The sequence below is a fragment of the Homo sapiens genome, chromosome 11, assembly GCF_000001405.40.
Source record: "Homo sapiens chromosome 11, GRCh38.p14 Primary Assembly".
Lineage (NCBI taxonomy): Eukaryota > Metazoa > Chordata > Mammalia > Primates > Hominidae > Homo > Homo sapiens.
The window spans coordinates 85,059,958-85,078,927 of record NC_000011.10 but is presented as its reverse complement, the minus strand read 5'-3'; the positions used below and the strand labels follow the sequence as shown (position 1 = coordinate 85,078,927).

Below are 18,970 nucleotides of genomic sequence, written 5' to 3'. Positions count from 1 at the left end.
AAAATAAACTTCTAAATTGATTAAGACCTGTCTTAGATACTTTTGGTTTACAAAACTTGAACGCATTTTATTTAGGATCTTGTTTCTACTACTATGACAAATCACTCTTGGCTAGGTTAACAATAATTTTTATGTTGACAAATCCAGTGGATGAATTCTCAGTTCTCATCTTAACCTATGAAGGTTTAATATTCCTACCTCTTTGAAAAATTTCTTTATTTGGTTTCAAGACCATTCCTCTCTCTCCTGTTTCTTCTTCTCCTACCAAAATGTCTTCCCTGCTTTTTAGCTCTTGACCCTAATAATCTGCTGTAAAAATACAGGAAAGGTTATTTCAGTCCTCTGTGAATCCTCACCTGAGTTTCCATCTCACTAAAATGAAATGCTGAAGTCTTTATTGTTGCCTACACATCTCAAGATGTACCCCTTCTATATGTCTTACTACTTTCCCTTTTCCTTCACTTCACTCCAGTCATGCAGTCCTCCTTGAGCATTTCAGACTTGCTCCTACCTCAAAGCCTTTACACTTGCTTTTTCTTCTGCCTGGAATGTTCTTTCAGATTTTCACATAACTAGTTCGCTCACTTCCTTCAGGTCAGATTAAACATTGTTAGTAGAGCCTTCCTCAATAACCTTATATATTACCCTTCCTCTAGTCCACACACACTGCCTGTCATTTTCAGCTTGCTTTATTTTTCTCCATTGCACTTATCACTACTTGACATACTAGATATTAACTTACCTGTTTATTTCCCCCAATAGAGTAGGCTTTATGAGGACAGTGATTTGATATATTGTTTTGCACGGTTTTTTACTATGGCCATAGAACAATACCTGACTCACAGTGGGTGTTCCATGAATGTTTGTTGAATAAATGGAAATGTAAAAAAGGTAATAATACCTGAATTAAAGTTGAAATGGAAATAAAATAATATTCCATATATTAGCCCAGGACTATAACATGTTAGTTAGCATTTACAGCTTCTTGGATTCTACATGATTGTTGAATGATGCAAAATAATTCTTATAGACAGCACAACCCTGTTTTGTTGAAGTCAGAGATGGCATGTCTTGGTCATATATAATGGAGACTATCCCTCTAAATATAAATGGAAACTGTAAGCCAAGAACTGGTCTACATATGTAACGCAGGAAAAAAGAACTTGACTTTTCTTTTTTCTTCTCTTTTTCTTTGAACATATTCCCCACACAGAGATAAAAATAGTGTCAGCTTTGAACTTGAAAAATGACATTATATGTGCAGTAGCACATTTTTCATTTTTATAACTTTTGACAATTATGATGTTAAATGTATTTTTAACCTATAGATTTGCATTAATATTGAGTGAGGTTCAACTTTCCATTCACTGGCATTTAAATTTTGTGCTTTTAACTTTATATCTGTTTTTTTCAAGTTCCAGCAAATAAGTTGGAAGAAAAGACACAACATAAAAAAATTTAAGAAGCAGGCACTTGGAAATTTTATTGCCAAACAACTCCACTAGCATAGGCTTTTTGAAGCAGTCTTGGTCTAAATTTGTTCCTATCACTCCTTTTAGTTCCTATGTGGGCCTCTTAATAGGAAATCATATACCAGATGAACATTAACCTCCTATGAGGAGTCTTCCTTATCACCTTAACTCACATGCTCCTTAACGCAGGTGTTCTTTTTTTCCAAACTCTAACCCTAACCACAACACCTTTTTTCATATCATTTTTATGGTGATCATTGTTATTATATTTTTGTACAGACATGATTTTTCATATGTGGTTTTACTCATGCAGTCAAAAATCTTTGAACTGCTGAGCCTGTGCCAAGCATTGTCCTAGTCTGTGGTTACACAGATATTTGAGACATGGTTTTGGCAACTCTTTCCCTTCATTACATTGTGATTTCTTTGAGGTTCAATAACTGAGGTGCTTATCTTTATGTGCCTGGTAATTAGCACAACACTAAATAAATATATGTAGAATGAATTAATGGGTGTCTTCATTACAGTGGGAGTTTCTGAGGACAAGGTCATGTCTGTGTCTTCAGTGCTAAATGCAGTACCAGGCACATAATGAAAGCTCAGCAGATATTAAATGGAAGGTAAATAATGCCAGTCAAGGGGTCATCTTTCACTCTGGTTTGTGGGACAAGCCAACGTTAAAGTACCAGAGAGGAGAATCTGTGAGCTTCTGTGGTTTGAATGAGGCCTTTACTGCTTCTCTGTAGTCCCTTTTATGTACATGTGCCTGCCTAGCAATTAGCAGAGGAATGCTCTAGATAGATTAGCTGAGTGTGCCAGAGTATGACTAGTCTCCCAGAGGGTGCTGAGCGTCAGTGAGGAGGACCACATTTGGAAGCTGATGCTTCAAGGCAGTTACTTCTCTGGCAGACCTTGATTATGTCTGTGACACATGGCATCACTCTTAAAATTTGAGACAGGTTTGGTGCCTGAAGGACTTGTCAAACCATTTCCGGGTTGTTGCCTCCAGGTGGATGAATAAAGTTTAGAAAGTTAATTGGCTGTTTCCTGAATGAAACTTGAAAATTGAACTCATCAGGAAGTGTTTGCCAGCATGTACCCATTTTTTAGGTATCAGTAATTCTTAATTTAAATGGTTTTGATCTCATGTGGTACATTTAATCAACAGTTTTCAGACTAACCCAAATACATGTTGCTTCTTACCAGAGTGAGGAAAAATACTGTGATTCCTTCATATGTGGAATGGAATTTCAAAACTCTTGCAAGACTGATAAGCTTTTTGACATCCAGGACATACCTTATTCATCTGTGTATCTCTAGCTGTAATAGCATACTTTCTGACACATGGTAAAAATTCATTATTACTTTGATGAAAGATTGACCAACAAGCTTAATGTGTGAGTAAATAAATTCATTTACCAGATGACTTGAGATCATCAAAGTAGGGGAGCTCTAAATATAATTGCTAAGTAAAATGGCAAGGCGTGTTGCTGTTCCTGTTCCTGTATCCCCCTTGTATAATTTTTATTTCACAAATAACACATGACTACATTCTACTTACAATAATTAAATTCATTGTAGACAAGTTGCCCTTGATTAAAACACCTAATCAGTTTTATTCCCAGAGGTTACCACTGTGATCAGTTGGCATGTGTTCTTCCAGACCTTGGTTTTTGCACATTACAATTATATTATATATTTTCTGAGAGTGTAAGAGTGTATGCACATACCTATATACATAAAATTATATATTTTTGGGAGTATATGCACATATATGCATATATATACACTCTCAGAAAATATATAGTATAATTGTGCAGTTGTGTGCATATGTGAGTATATGTGTATGTGAGAAAGAGATAGAGTAACTTATTTAAATAGTGGTATACTCTGTAATTTGGGGTTTTTTGAAATTTGCTTATTTCAGTCAGTAAAATGTTTTCAAGATCTATTTGGCCATATTTGGATTTACCACATTATATGTGACTGAATACATGCTTATTAAGTGGTTTGGCTATACCACATTTCTACCTATTTCCTATTTAAATATTTAGATTGCTTCTAAGTTTTCACAGATTTTAGGAATGATGCAATGAACATCCTTAGACACACATCCTTCAGTATGTAGGTAAGTCTTCTTATACCTAGAATTATAATTATTAGGTCACTGAGTATACATACTTAAAATTTTAAGAGATATTGCCAAAGATAACCTGCAAAGTGGCTGTACAAATTTACATTTTCACTAACAGTGTAAAACAATATCAGTTTCCTCATATATGCACCACGATTTTATGCTATACAAGTTTTTAATTTGTACCGGTCTTTTTAGATAAAATAACATCCCATTTTAGTTTTATTTTGAATGTCCTGTGTTACTCCTCATGTGTAAGGCTGAACATCCTCATGCATTTATTGCCTGTTGCTATTTTCTCTTCCTTAGATTGCCTGCCTCCCCTTTTAGTTCTAATTTAGTAAACAATGGAAAGGAGAGCATGGTAATCTCAAGTAGGCTAAATTAGGCTTAATGTAACTTCAGTGAGGGCCTATTGCCATAGAGCATCTCTCTCTAGATTTACTTGTTCATTTGTTCCTCCATTTATTAATCAAATTCAAATTTAGCACATACTGTTTTTCATGCATGTACTAGGGCTGGGGATAGAGTAGGTAACAGTCATGGTTCCTCCGCACAAAAGCATGAAGTTAGAGGGAAACATATGCCAGTGCCTCAAGTCTCCTCCTATATTCTTGAAGACATTTCCCAGAGCAGCATTGCTACCTTTTACAAACCTATTGATGTTTTTGATTCTCTTTTCCTTAAGAGAATATTTGATGTCCAGTATTCTTCTACTGTTAACAGAAATGATCTTCTGTTGTTTATGGCCCAAGTTTTTACAGATAAATGTATATAAGGATGAATCCTTTTTTAGAAGGTATGTTCCCAGCTATTGCGAATCTACAGAATAAAAGGAAAAGTAGATAATTATCTCATCCTTCTAGCCTGTGTCTTGATGGGATTAATTTCCTCCCTGCTCATTATATATAAGGCAGGTCATTACTTCCTGATTGTAAGCACCTGCTGATTCACTGGCAAAAAAGTGGTAGAAATGAGAAGCTGTATAAAGGCTTAGAAGTGGTGAAAGTGTGTCTGAGAAGTTTTAGAGAAAAGATTCAATCCCAAGGGGACTCAAGATTCTACCTTAAAAAAATTATTTTAGGTTCAGCAGTACATGTTCAGGCTTTTTATCTAGGTAAATTGCATGTTGCAGGGGTTTGGTGTACAGATTGTTTCATCACCTTGGTAATGAGCATAGCACCTGATAGGTAGTTTTTTGATCCTCACCTTCCTCCTACTCTCCACACTCAAGTAGGCTCCAGTGTCTGTTGTTCTTTGCATTGTGTCCATATATACTCAATGTTTAGCTCCCACTTGTGAGAACCTGAAGTATTTTGTTTTCTGTTCCTGTGTTGGTTCACTTGGATAATGGCCTTCAGATACATTCAGGTTGCTGCAAAGGACATTATCTTGTTCTTTTTTATGGCTGCATAGTACTCCATGGTGTATATATACCACAGATTCTTTATCCAGTCTACCATTGATGGGTATTTAGGTTGTATGTCTTTGCTATTGTGACTAATGCTGCAGTAAACATATTCATGCATGTATCTTCGTGGTATAATTATTTATATTCCTTTGGATATATGCCCAATAGTGGGATTGCTGGGTTGAATGGTAATTCAATATCCTACTTCTTGAAACCTTAGAAAGAATATTCTTTGACAGAAAGACTTAATCTAATATTTAGTTTTAATCCCACTGATGTGCTACCTTGTATATCACAATGTAGTAAGAAGGTACAACTTCAACTAGATTTACAGGTGGTACTAGTGAAAGGCTGAAAGCAAATGGATATGAGTGGGCAAGAAGACACCAAGAACACAATACTTACTACCACCATTTATTACTAGGAACTCTGGTAAGAGTTTTGCCTGAATTTACTTACGCAATCCTGATAATAATCTTTTAAGATGGATATTTGTATTTCAATTTTATTGATAAGAAAGGTTAAGAACTTGTTAAAAGGTTATTCAGCCACTACCATGGCACAAGCCTTCTTTCTCTGTGCCATTTCCAGTGAAGCTGAAAATCCACCATTTGTTTTCACCATCACAGAGGAGACAAAGGACACCCTGGAGTGACCTGGAAGGGAATTCCTTGTGCTTTCTAAGGCTCTGACCTCAAACAGGGTGAGAAAGAAGAGGTTTAGGGGTCTGTCTGTATGAATATATCAGTTTTTAATCTGTGCTATGTTAATATGGCAAAGGGAAAATATGTATTTTTAAAATTTTGAAATATGTTTAATATGATAAAATGTGTTTTGGCCATCTTTGTTCTTCATATTTTAGTTAATGGAATACAAATACTAGTATCTAATAAATACCTTGTCATTCCACATAAAAGCTCTTATTTTTGACATTAAAAACTGAATGGCCTCATTTTGAATGCATTAGGTTGTTGTTTTGTAGCCTGATGGGATGTGAGACCTTTTTGACCCATCATCCAAAATATCTGTTGATGCTATCAAATGATGAAATGTCATTTATCTGAATGACTGATCAATTTTCATAGCCAGATTTGTAGATGGCATTTACCGATATGTTGCTAAAGACAACTGTTGGCAGCCCATGCAGCCTACTCTTTGCAACCAAGTGTATTTATTATGGGCTTTGGAATCCCATAGACTTGGGTTTGTATTCTTTCTCTTCCATTAGTGCTGTAACCTAGGACAAATTACTTAACCTCTCCAAGTCCTAATTACCTCATTGCAAAATGTGATGAAAGTAATCTGTTTTATAGACTGCCATGATAATTAAATGACGAAATGTATTTAAAGCCCTTGGCAAGGAGGGTGTGTTAAATATATGTTAGCCATTATCATCAATACTTAAGAAATTAACCAAAAGATAGTGTTTCTCAAAATATAGTTGCTGAATGCCTGCATTTGGATCACCTAGAATGTTTGTTTAAAGTTTTATATCCCTGGGTTCTAATCCAGACCTCTTGATTCAGAATCTCTTTGAGGGGAGAGTGAGCGTAGTAAAATTTTCACAGTAGGACTCAAAGAATTTATACATGCTTAAGTGTGAGAACCATGGACACAGGAAGAATTGAAGTGGTGGTGATGCTGTATACCCTGGTTCAGCCACATTTACGAGTGACTGCTATATGCCAAGGACTGCCTTAGGCACAAGGGAAGTAAATAAGATGGCCTATTGTAAAAATTAGAATGTAAGAGAACAATAAGCTCTTGTTTCTGTAGCAGGTACAATTGTAACAATGAGGACAATGAACTGAAGAGGGAATACACATCATTTTGTATTCATGTTTTATTGCAATCTACAAATGCTCACATTTTTACCTTTGAGTGACATAGGGATGCTAAGATTAAATGCGTTCTCATTTCATTTGTGTTGCGGCATGGACTGAATTGTATGAAGAAGTTAATTTTCACCTGTTTGGTAGATTGCATAAAAACTGGGTAGGATGATTTTTGCTTCTTTTTAGAAAAGCATTTTTAGAGAAATGTTTTCCATTTCTGAACACAAGAGAGAGATGTAAGGATACTTAAAGAACTCTTTGGCTTCAAGGCTTGGTCCAGTTTATTCTAATCATATGAATCGCCAGAATTTAAATTGCTCTTGAAATTAGACCTTAAGGCATGCTTCTTCCCTAGAGTGCCTGATTTTTTTCAAGATACAAGGATCAGTTTATGTTTGAATTTTTTTCATTTAGTGGAAACATATAAATTCTTTTGGAGTTGGCTGTCATAAAGTTTATAACAATGATTTGGCATGTCCACAGATGTCATCAATGAAGCACTTGCATATTTCCAGAGAAAGTAAGGTTTATATTCCATATGAACAAGATGCATCCAGTTCTTGAGATGCCTATCATATTGTCGCTTTCAAATAATAATCAACATTCACTTATGTTATTATCTATAAAGTAGTTTTTCTACACATCACATTTGGTCATTATAATAGCCTTTCTTACTATTAATAATTCACAGCCAAATCTGCTTTACTTTTAGGTCATTTTGTCTGGGTTGGCTTGGAGTCAACTTATGCAACCAGGGTAATCTCCACCCCAGTGACTGCGTCATCCTAATGGGAAGTTCTTTTACATATCTACCTTGAGCTTCCATGGACGTAACGCTAAGGTTTAATTTCAAAGTCTGGAAAGAGTATTATAAAAAATGAAGATAGCAAACTCCTGTCCACAGTAGTTAAATGACTAATGTGCTAGACAGTGTTCTGATAGCTTTATATAGATGAATTCATTTAATCCTCCCAACAACTCTATGTGTTAAACGCTATTGTCCATTTTACAAATGATGAAACAGAGGCGTAGAGAGATCAGGTAGTTTTCCCAAGGTCACACAGATTAAAAATCAGTTGTGCTTGGATTTGAGCTCAGACAGACTGACTCCAGTGTCCAAGCTCTTCACTGCTATTTTGTACTCCTCTCCAACCTGGTTTTGAGTAGGAAAACAACTTCACAAGGACCTACGTACCAACATGAAGGTAAAAGTTGTAACATTATAGACATTTCACAAAGCAAAATTTGAAAATGCTATGAGATTTTAGAACAAAGAAGATGGCTTGGGCTAGAGTAGTCAGAACAGGCTCTGTGAAAAAGGTGGGAGAGGATTCATTCTTCAGAGGGTGGATGGTAAGTGATTATATATAGCACAGTAGAGTGTAGTGAGGAAGCACAGTCTTTGTAGTAAAATAGACCTGGGTTCAATTTCCAGTACCTAGATACAGGCTATGGGACTTACTTTTTGGTTTAGTGCTTATACTTCTTAAAGTTTTAAAACATTTTTATAGATTTAGGGGATACAAGTGCAGTTTTGTTACATGAATATATTGTGCATTGGTTAAGTCTAGGCTTTTAAGTACCTGTCACCTGAATGTACCGAGTAGGTTTTTCATATTTTCTTTCTTTCTCCACACGGTTTCTTTCTCCAATTATCTACTGATAAACACTTAGGTTGATTCCATATCTGTGGTATTGTGAATAGTGCTGCAGTCAATATAAGAGTGTAGGTCTTTTTATTTATTTATTTATTTATTTATTTATTTATTTTTTATTATACTTTAAGTTCTAGGGTACATGTGCACAACATGCAGGTTTGTTACATATGTATACATGTGCCATGTTGGTGTGCTGCACCCATTAACTCGTCATTTACATTAGGTATATCTCCTAATGCTATCCCTCCCCTCTCCACCCACCCCACGACAGGCCCCGGTGTGTGATGTTCCCCTTCCTGTGTCCATGTGTTCTCATTGTTCAATTCCCACCTATGAGTGAGAACATGCGGTGTTTGGTTTTTTGTCCTTGCGATAGTTTGCTGAGAATGATGGTTTCCAGCTTCATCCATGTCCCTACAAAGGACATGAACTCATCATTTTTTATGGCTGCATAGTATTCCATGGTGTATATGTGCCACATTTTCTTAATCCAGTCTATCATTGATGGACACTTGGGTTGGTTCCAAGTCTTTGCTATTGTGAATAGTGCCACAATAAACATACGTGTGCACGTGTCTTTATAGCAGCATGATTTATAATCCTTTGGGTGTGTACCCAGTAATGGGATGGCTGGGTCAAATGGTATTTCTAGTTCTAGATCCCTGAGGAATCGCCACACTGACTTCCACAATGGTTAAACTAGTTTACAGTCCCACCAACAGTGTAAAAGTGTTCCTATTTCTCCACATCCTCTCTAGCATCTGTTATTTCCTGAATTTTTAATGATTGCCATTCTAACGGTTGTGAGATGGTATCTCATTGTGGTTTTGATTTGCATTTCTCTGATGGCCAGTGATGATGAGCATTTTTTCATGTGTCTTTTGGCTGCATAAATGTCTTCCTTTGAGAAGTGTCTGTTCATATCCTTCGCCCACTTTTTGATGGGGTTGTTTGTTTTTTTCTTGTAAGTTTGTTTGAGTTCTTGGTAGATTCTGGATATTAGCCCTTTGTCAGATGCGTAGCTTGCAAAAATTTTCTCCCATTCTGTAGGTTGCCTGTTCACTCTGATGGTAGTTTCTTTTGCTGTGCAGAAGCTCTTTAGTTTAATCAGATCCCATTTGTCAATTTTGGCTTCTGTTGCCATTGCTTTTGGTGTTTTAGACATGAAGTCCTTGCCCATGCCTATGTCCTGAATGGTATTGCCTAGGTTTTCTTCTAGGATTTTTATGGTTTTAGGTCTAACATTTAAGTCTTTAATCCATCTTGAATTAATTTTTGTATAAAGTGTAAGGAGGGGATCCAGTTTCAGCTTTCTCCATATGGCTAGCCAGTTTTCCAAGCACCATTTATTAAATAGGGAATCCTTTCCCCATTTCTTGTTTTTGTCAGGTTTGTCAGAGATCAGATGGTTGTAGATATGCAGCATTATTTCTGAGGGCTCTGTTCTGTTCCATTGCTCTGTATCTCTGTTTTGGTACCAGTACCATGCTGTTTTGGTTACTGTAGCCTTGTAGTATAGTTTGAAGTCAGGTAGAGTGATGCCTCCAGCTTTGTTCTTTTGGCTTAGGATTTTCTTGGCAATGCGGTCTCTTTTTTGGTTCCATATGAACTTTAAAGTAGTTTTTTCCAATTCTGTGAAGAAAGTCATTGGTAGCTTGATGGGGATGGCATTGAATCTGTAAATTTCCTTGGGCTGTATGGCCATTTTCACAGTACTGATTCTTCCTACCCATGAGCATGGAATGTTCTTCCATTTCTTTGTATCCTCTTTTATTTCCTTGAGCAGTGGTTTGTAGTTCTCCTTGAAGAGGTCCTTCACGTCCCTTGTAAGTTGGATTCCTAGGTATTTTATTCTCTTTGAAGCAGTTGTGAATGGGAGTTCACTCATGATTTGGCTCTCTGTTTGTCTGCTATTGGTGTATAAGAATGCTTGTGATTTTTGCACATTGATTTTGTATCCTGAGACTTTGCTGAAGTTGCCTATCAGCTTAAGGAGATTTTGGGCTGAGACTATGGGGTTTCCTACATATATAATCATGTCATCTGCAAACAGGGACACTTTGACTTCATCTTTTCCTAATTGAATACCCTTTATTTCCTTCTCCTGCCTGATTGCCCTGGCCAGAACTTCCAACACAATGTTGAATAGGAGTGGTGAGAGAGGGCATCCCTGTCTTGTGCCAGTTTTCAAAGGGAATGCTTCCAGGTTTTGCCATTCAGTATGATATTGGCTGTGGGTTTGTCATAAATAGCTCTTATTATTTTGAGATACATCTCATCAATACCTAATTGATTGAGAGTTTTTAGAATGAAGGGCTGTTGAATTTTGTCAAAGGCCTTTTCTGCATCTATTGAGATAATCATGAGGTTTTTGTCTTTGGTTCTGTTTATATGCTGGGTTACGTTTATTGATTTGCATATGTTGAAACAGCCTTGCGTCCCAGGGACGAAGCCCACTTGATCATGGTGGATAAGCTTTTTGATGTGCTGCTATATTCGGTTTGCCAGTATTTTATTGGAGATTTTTGCATCGATGTTCATCAGGGATATTGGTCCAAAATTCTCTTTTTTTGTTGTGTCTCTCCCAGGCTTTGGTATCAGGATGATGCTGGCCTCATAAAATGAGTTAGGGAGGATTCCCTCTTTTTCTATTGATTGGAATAATTTCAGTAGGAAAACTCCTCCTCCTCCTTGTACCAGCTCCTCCTTGTACCTCTGGTAGAATTCGGCTGTGAATCCATCTGGTCCTGGACTTTTTTTGATTGGTCGGCTATTAATTATTGCCTCAATTTCAGAGCCTCTTATTGGTCTATTCAGGGATTCAACTTCTTCCTGGTTTAGTCTTGGGAGGGTGAAACCAATGAGAACAAAGACACAACATACCAGAATCTCTGGGACACATTTAAAGCAGTGTGTAGAGGGAAATTTATAGCACTAAATACCCACAAGAGAAAGCAGGAAAGATCTAAAATTGACGCCCTAACATCACAATTAAAAGAACTAGAGAAGCAAGTGCAAACACATTCAAAAGCTTGCAGAAGGCAAGAAATAACTAAGATGAGAGCAGAACTGAAGGAGATAGAGACACAAAAAACCCTTCAAAAAATCAATGAATCCAGGAGCTGGTTTTTTGGAAAGATCAACAAAATTGATAGACTGCTAGCAAGACTAATAAAGAAGAAAGGAGAGAAGAATCAAATAGACGCAATAAAAAATGATAAAGGGAATATCACCACTGATCCCACAGAAATACAAACTACCATCAGAGAATACTATAAACACCTCAAATAAATTAGAAAATCTAGAAGAAATGGATGAATTCCTGGAGTGCAGGTCTTTTTAATGTAGTGATTTCTTTCCCTTTGGATATATACTCAGTAATGGGATTGTCTTCTAGATATAGGCACATATCATCAGTGAACAGAAAAATTTGACTTCCCGTTTTCTAATTTGGATCCCTTTTATTTCTTCTTCTTGCCTGATGGCTCTAACTAGGACTTCTAATACTGTGTTAAATAGAAGTGGTAAAAGTGAGCATCCTTGTTTTGTTCCAGTTCTTAGGGAGAATGCTTTCAACTTTTCCCCATGTTGTCTGTAGGTTTGTTGTATATGGCTTTTATTGTCTTGAAGCTCGTTTTTTGATGCTAAGTTTGTTGATGATTTTTATTATGATAGGATATTGAATTCTATTGAATGCTTTTTCGGTGTCTGTTGATATAATCATATAGTTTTTTTTATTAACTTTGTTTATGTGGTGAATCACATTTATTGATTTCTGTATGTTGAACTACCCTTACATCCCTGGATAAAACCCAATTGGTCATGGTGTATTATCTTTTTAATTTGCTGTTGGATTCAATTTGCTAGTATTTTGTTGAGAATTTTTGCCTCTATCTTCAGGTATATTGGCCTATAATTTTTTGTTGTTGTTGTGTTCTTGCCTGTCTTTGTCATCAGAGTGATACTGGCTTTGTAGAATGAGTCAGGGAGGATTCTCTCCCCCTTGATTTTTGGAACAATTTCAATAGCGTTTGTACCACTGTCTTTTGTACATCTGGTAAAATTCAGCTATGAATCCCTCTGTCACTGGTCTTTTTTGGGAGGGGAGTTTTTTATTGCTAATTTAATTTCACTACTGGCTCTTGATCTCCTTAGGATTTATATTTCTTCCTGGTCATTCTTGGGAGGTTGTTTGTTTCCAGGAATTTGTTCATCTTTTCTGGCTTTACTAGTATTTGTTCATAGAGATGCTCATAGTAGTCTCTGATAATCTTTTCTATTTCTGAGTTATTAGTTGTGATGTCACCTTTATCATTTCTGATTTTGCTTATTTGAAAATTCTGTGTTTCCTTCTCAGTTAATCTGGCTATTTTGTTTATCTTTTCAAAGAACCCACTTTTCATTTTGTGAAAAGTTGTATTGCATTTATTATCTCACTTTTGTTTAGTTCTGCTCTGATCTTTATTCTTTCTTAAGCTAGCTTTGGGTTTGGTTTATTCCTTTTTTTAGTTCTTTGAGGTGTGATGTTAAATCGTTAATTTGAGATCTTTCTATTTTTTTTACATAGGCATTTAACACCATAAACTTTTCTCTTAGCACTGCTTTTTCTGTACCCCAGAGATTTGGGTATATTTTATCTCTATTTTTATTTCTTTAATATATATTTTTTAAATTTCCACCTTAATTTCATTGTTCACCCAAAGATTATTCAGGAGCAGATTGTTTAATTTCCATGTATTTTTATACTTTTGAGAGTTCCTCTTGGTATTAATTTCTAGCTTTATTCCACTGTGGTCCAATAAAATGCCTGATATGTTATTTTATCCCAGAACTTAAAGTATAATAAAAAAAATTTTTAATAAAATTAAAATTTAAAAAAAGCTGGATATGTAGATTGTGAAACCTGGTTTTAAATCCGGAATTTGCCTTTATTTAATTGTGCAACTTGGGGAAATCATTATACCTAACTGGATCTTAGTATCCTCCTCTGTGAAATGATGAAGACTCTTACCATGCCTGTGGGTTTCTAGTGGAGGAGAAATGAGAGATTCCCAAACCTGGAGCCATCAAGGGGTTTTAAAAAAAAGGAGTAACATAGTCAAATTTGCATTTTACATAGACTAGGTAGACAATGTGGAAGATGCATTTATGGGGGATTAAGATAGCTCCACAGAGAGCCCTTTTAGAAGCAATATTTCTAATAATAAATAGTGGACTATTCTAGGGTAGTGTTCAAAAGATACACAGTAGAGGACATACTAATACTAAAGAAATGTTTAGAACAGTGTTTCTTCACCATTTTTTATTATCTACTCCTCCCACCCCTCTCCACTGCCCAGAGACCAGGAGACTTTTTAGAAACTTTTGTACTAATTGACTCCACCCCTCTTGAAATTTTTATACCACAGATATACTACTTATCTCTTTATGTAAAGTACCTATATCGGTACTTTATACATAAAAATATTTTTCACCTTTGTGCTTGTCAAACGTGGGGTGGGGAAGGAGAGAAAGAGAGAGAGAGAGAAAGAGAGAGAGGCTGGAAGGGTGGAAACTAAGGCAGAATTTGTATGTTATAATCTTGAGATAGAATTCTCTCTTCTTTGGGGATCCTCAGTCTTTGCTCTTAAGGCCTTTAATTAATTGGATAAGACCCATCCATATTATGAAGGGTAATCTGTTTTAATTAGAGTTAACTGATTCTGAATGCTAATCATATGTAAAAAATACCTTCAAAGCAACATCTCAAATAGTGTTTGACCAAACAGCTTGGTACCACAGCTTAGCCAAGTTGAGATAAAACTAACTATCGCACCCCTTTCCTACATAATCAATTTTCACTCCCTAGGGGATGGTATAATCCCTTTTGAAAATGTATAATTAGGAGATAAAATAGGTTATACTGTATATTAGATTGATTTGTTTATATGTAAGTGGCGAGGTATAGAAAAGTGTCAGAGTTGATTTCCAGATTTTTAGCTTGAACAATTACTGCTGCCACGTACTGAGAGGAAAAGGAGAACAAGGAGTAGGTCTGATGTGCAATATGATGATTTTATATATAGGCAAATGTGCATTTTATAGTGACCTTTCAGTGTATTCATTCATAAGCCTCTCTAGCTTCTTGTACCTAGAATTGAATAGAATTTATTAGAACATTTTTGAAAAGATAAAATGTTTTTATAATATAAGCTCAGTGATAGCATGGTTTCTTCACTTTTAACATTCAGGCTGGACAGATCCTCTGAAAATATTTGGTATTATTTCTTGGTTATGATGTATTCCTGCTTCTTGGATATATGCAAACAAACATATTAATTATATGACAGACATTCAGTTTTGTCCTCGTATTTGTTTTTTAACAAACATACCCATGGATTTAATAACTGCTTGCCTTGTATTTGTGTTATTTTTTATTTTCCCTTTTTTCTCAACTAAATTATGGGATCCTGAAGGAAAGGAATAGTGGCAACTGAGTCAACAAGTATTTAGTCTAATATCGCCTTATTTGTCACCACAGAACCCAGATGAGTGCCTTGCATATAATAGATGGTTAATAAATGTCAAATTTTTGTTGAAGTGAAGTTTCTGGTACCATTTGATATAAATTATCCCACAAGTACTACAAATCATTGCTTCTTATCAAATGACTTTTTATAGATTTATAAAGCAGCAGGGGTTATTTCCATTTTACAGCCTAGATTTTATATTTTATTCAAGAAAGAATGGGAAAAAAAACTCATTTAGCTGCACGCAAGTTAGAGGGAAATACAGCACATTTCTACTTAAGTCTATGCTTTATAACTTAAAACTTTTGTTTTGTAGAAAGAAATCTCCTAAGCCAATAACCATATAAGTCTTTAAAAGTCTTTTAGTCATAAGGTGTACCGTTTTTCACTGTGATTGCCTTGTTACGTACAGACTCTATATAAAATTTCTAGGAGCCCCATAAAGTAATGTCAGTTCTGTGTAGAAGATTTACTGCTCCATTACTTGATATTGGGAAAATAGAAAAAAGTACATCTTTTGTAATAATAGCAAGAACCATATGCAGTGGACTATGAGAGAATTTGGGATTAATCATTGTTGCAGGCCAGGCTCCCCAGAAAACAGACTCAAAACTCTGAGATTTGTATGCAAGAACTTATTAGAGAACACTCAACAGAGGCCTCAGCTGATCCTATGGGGATCATTGGATGCAGTTTGCCCTAGTGAAGAAATGAAGTAATTTTGGTCAAGGCAACTTCCAAGAGATGGTAAGCCTTAGCGGCTAACACTCCTAACAGCTGCGAGAATGAGCGCTTTGACCCTGAAGCGGGGAATCTGTGCAGTAAACTCAGTACCCACTACAAAATCTTTAATATAAGATTTTGTTAAGTTATCACCGTCTTAGTACTTTAGCACTACATTTAGAATTTTGACAATATGCACATACTATATGTACATGCATTTCAGGATGTTATACCAGTCATCCCCACCTCTGCTGGCAGAGGCATTTTAACAATTGTAAAAATGTTGTATACTGCTTAGTGTGCTTATTTCTCTGTTATGTTGATTATTCATTTCAAAAACCACAACCTAGTTGTGATGAGTACTAACTCTCTTTTAGTCTTCTGGTTTCAGAGGCTTCAAAAGCAGATACATGCAAAATGCCCATTTTAGTTTCAGATCTGCCTCTTCAGTTAGTTTACTAACTGAAGTTTAGTGACATATAACTTTTAAAGCACTCATTTCTATTATCTTACTAGATCTCTGTGAGGTAAGTTAATAACATGAATTTGCAAATAAAACAAACATTATTTAAAAGTCTTTCTTTGCCCTAACAAGCTGTATGACCTATGGTAAAAACTTATCTTTCCTGTCAGTTTTTTTTTTTCATTTGTCTGTGATACTACCTATCTTATAAAGATAAAATATTTAACACAATGTTTGCATTTAATGACTTTTCAATAAATGTTACCTGTAATATTTATTATCTTCTTAACAACCCTCTCTCTTGGGCAAAGTAGGAACCATGAGCCCAGATTTGCAGATAAGTGTTTAAAGTCTATCTATTACAAATAAAATATTTTTATATGAAATTTTTACCTGGAATGCAATGATCAAACACAAATTAAATCTAAGCTTTCCCCTACATTTTTTCAACTATTGCATTGATATAATTTTTTACCCATAAATGTCAAACTGTACTTTTCTTCATAGCATAAAAGAGCCTCCTTTTTTTCTGAATTGCTCAGAGAGCATTATAAGTATATAGAATATAAGCTCTGTTCAATTTCAGATAACCAAAATGAAAGAGGCCTAGCTTTAGATTTTATCAGTATAATAATGAGAAACCCTTGCCTATTTACTATAACTTCCAAAGTGACCCCTCTTTTTATAAATTATGTTCATCTTCAATCTTCTGGTTGTGTTAACCTCAAATTTTTCAACTGAGCCATGCGAGTGTAAAATGGGCTGGGGGAAATTTCTAGAGTCACATGGTATGTTAGGAGTAAAGTGACTGAAGAATTGGAGTGCTTGCCTGAATTGTGCAAGATAGAATGATCTTCAGTAACACTCAGAGAGCAAGACTGTTGGCAAAGTTAATGGGGTCAATCCTTAGTTATTTTGTATATTTTGGTTATTTTGATAGACTTTCTAACATTTCTATTCACTAAAATAAAAATGAGAAAAATACAGTACACATATATGGGATAACTTAGTGATGGAATTTGTCGTTCACAATTTCTTAGGATTTGGCCAATAGTGTTCATTTTAGAGAAGTTTAAAATTATGTATGTGTTTCTGGGAAGGACAAAAATAAAATATTTACATCTTAACCATCAGCTTTAGTATAATACTAAATTTCCTCAGTTTTTACAGCATTATTTTTTTGAGCCTTGACTGACACATCCCTTCAAACTATATGATACTTGCCTCCTGAGGGATATGCCTTCAGAAGCAGCACATTTGTTGCAGCGACTGAGAAATTCAAGTTGCAAATTTTGTTTCTGTAACTCATCTAGGCCAAATAATATCTAAGCAAAAAACAGCAGAATAGTTCAAATCGTGTATGTATTCTTGAAATAATTTGTAGAAAAAAAGATGCCAGTGCAGAAAGAGTGAAGTCAGAATAACTCAGATAGAAATTTCAATTAAAAAAATAAAGCACAGGCTACAAAAACAAAAATTGACAAGTGGGACTATATCAAACTATAAAGCTTCTGCACAGCAAAGGAAACAACAGAGTGAAAAGGCAACCTATGGAATGGGAGAAAATATCTACAAATCACATCACTTGTAAAGAGTTAATATTCGGAATATATAAGGAACTTCTATAACTCAAAAGCAAAAAAATTAAAAAATGGACAAAGGATTTGAGTAGACATTTCTCCATAGAAGGCATACAAATGGCCAACAGGTATATGAAAAGATGCTCAACATCACTAACCATCAGCGAAATGCAAGTCAAAACCACAAGGAGATATCACTTCACACTTGTTAAGATGACCATTAAAAAACAAAACAAAAAAGCAAAACCAAAAACAAAACAAACAAAAAAAAACAACAAAAAAAGAAAAACCCAGAAGATAACAAGTGTTGAGAAGGATGTGGAGAAATTAGAACCCTTATACACTGTTTCTGGGAATGTAAGATAGTGAACCTGCCACGGAAAACAGTTTTGAGTTCATAAAAAAATAAAAAATTTAATTTTCATATGACCCACCAATCTCACGTCTGTGTATTTATCCAAAAGAATTTGAAATGTGGATCTTAAAGAGATATTTGCATTTCTGCATTCAATGCAGCATTATTCACAATATCTATGAGGTAGAAACAACCTAAATGTCCATTGGGGGTGTTGGGATAAAGAAAATGTTATATATATGTACGCGTGTATATATAAATACATGTATACACACACACACATATACATATGCGTGTATATATATATACACATATATATACACACACACACATATGCATATGCGTGTATATATATACACATATATATACACACACATATATAATGTTATGTATATATAACATCTTGTGATGTATTATGAGATTCATTTATAACATTATATATACATATATGTATATAATATGCTTATGTTATATATTATATACATATACTTAGCCTTTAAAAAATGAAAATCTTGTCATATGCTACAATATGTACAACAAAGATAAACCTTTAGGACATTATACTAAGTGAAATAAGCCAGTGATGGGACAAATACTGCATAATTCCAGTTATGTGAAGTGTCTAAAGTCGCCAAACTCACTGAAACAGAAAGTAAAATGGTGGTTGCCAGGGGCTGGAGAGAGAGGGAAATGGTGAGTTTTTCTTTAATGGATGTAAAGTTTGTCATGCAAGGTGAAAAAGTTCTACAGATCTACTGTACAGCATTGTGCTTATAGTTAATAATGTAGTACTGTACACTTAAAAATTTAAGAGGGTAGATTTTATGTTA

At 35.1% G+C, this 18,970-nt stretch overlaps 1 protein-coding gene across 21 annotated transcripts in view, besides 1 other annotated feature; it reads left to right on the top strand.

Moving 5' to 3' along the window:
- The window catches only part of DLG2 (discs large MAGUK scaffold protein 2), a 2,173,362-nt gene that overhangs the window by 549,446 nt on the left and 1,604,946 nt on the right, over positions 1-18,970 (top strand). The window lies entirely within an intron of this gene.
- Positions 15,898-15,957: an enhancer, noted in NCBI's record as "active region_5358". NCBI's record gives its function as "activates an Ori minimal core promoter by ATAC-STARR-seq in GM12878 lymphoblastoid cells {active_cell/tissue: GM12878}" and the evidence as "EXISTENCE:reporter gene assay evidence [ECO:0000049][PMID:35858748]".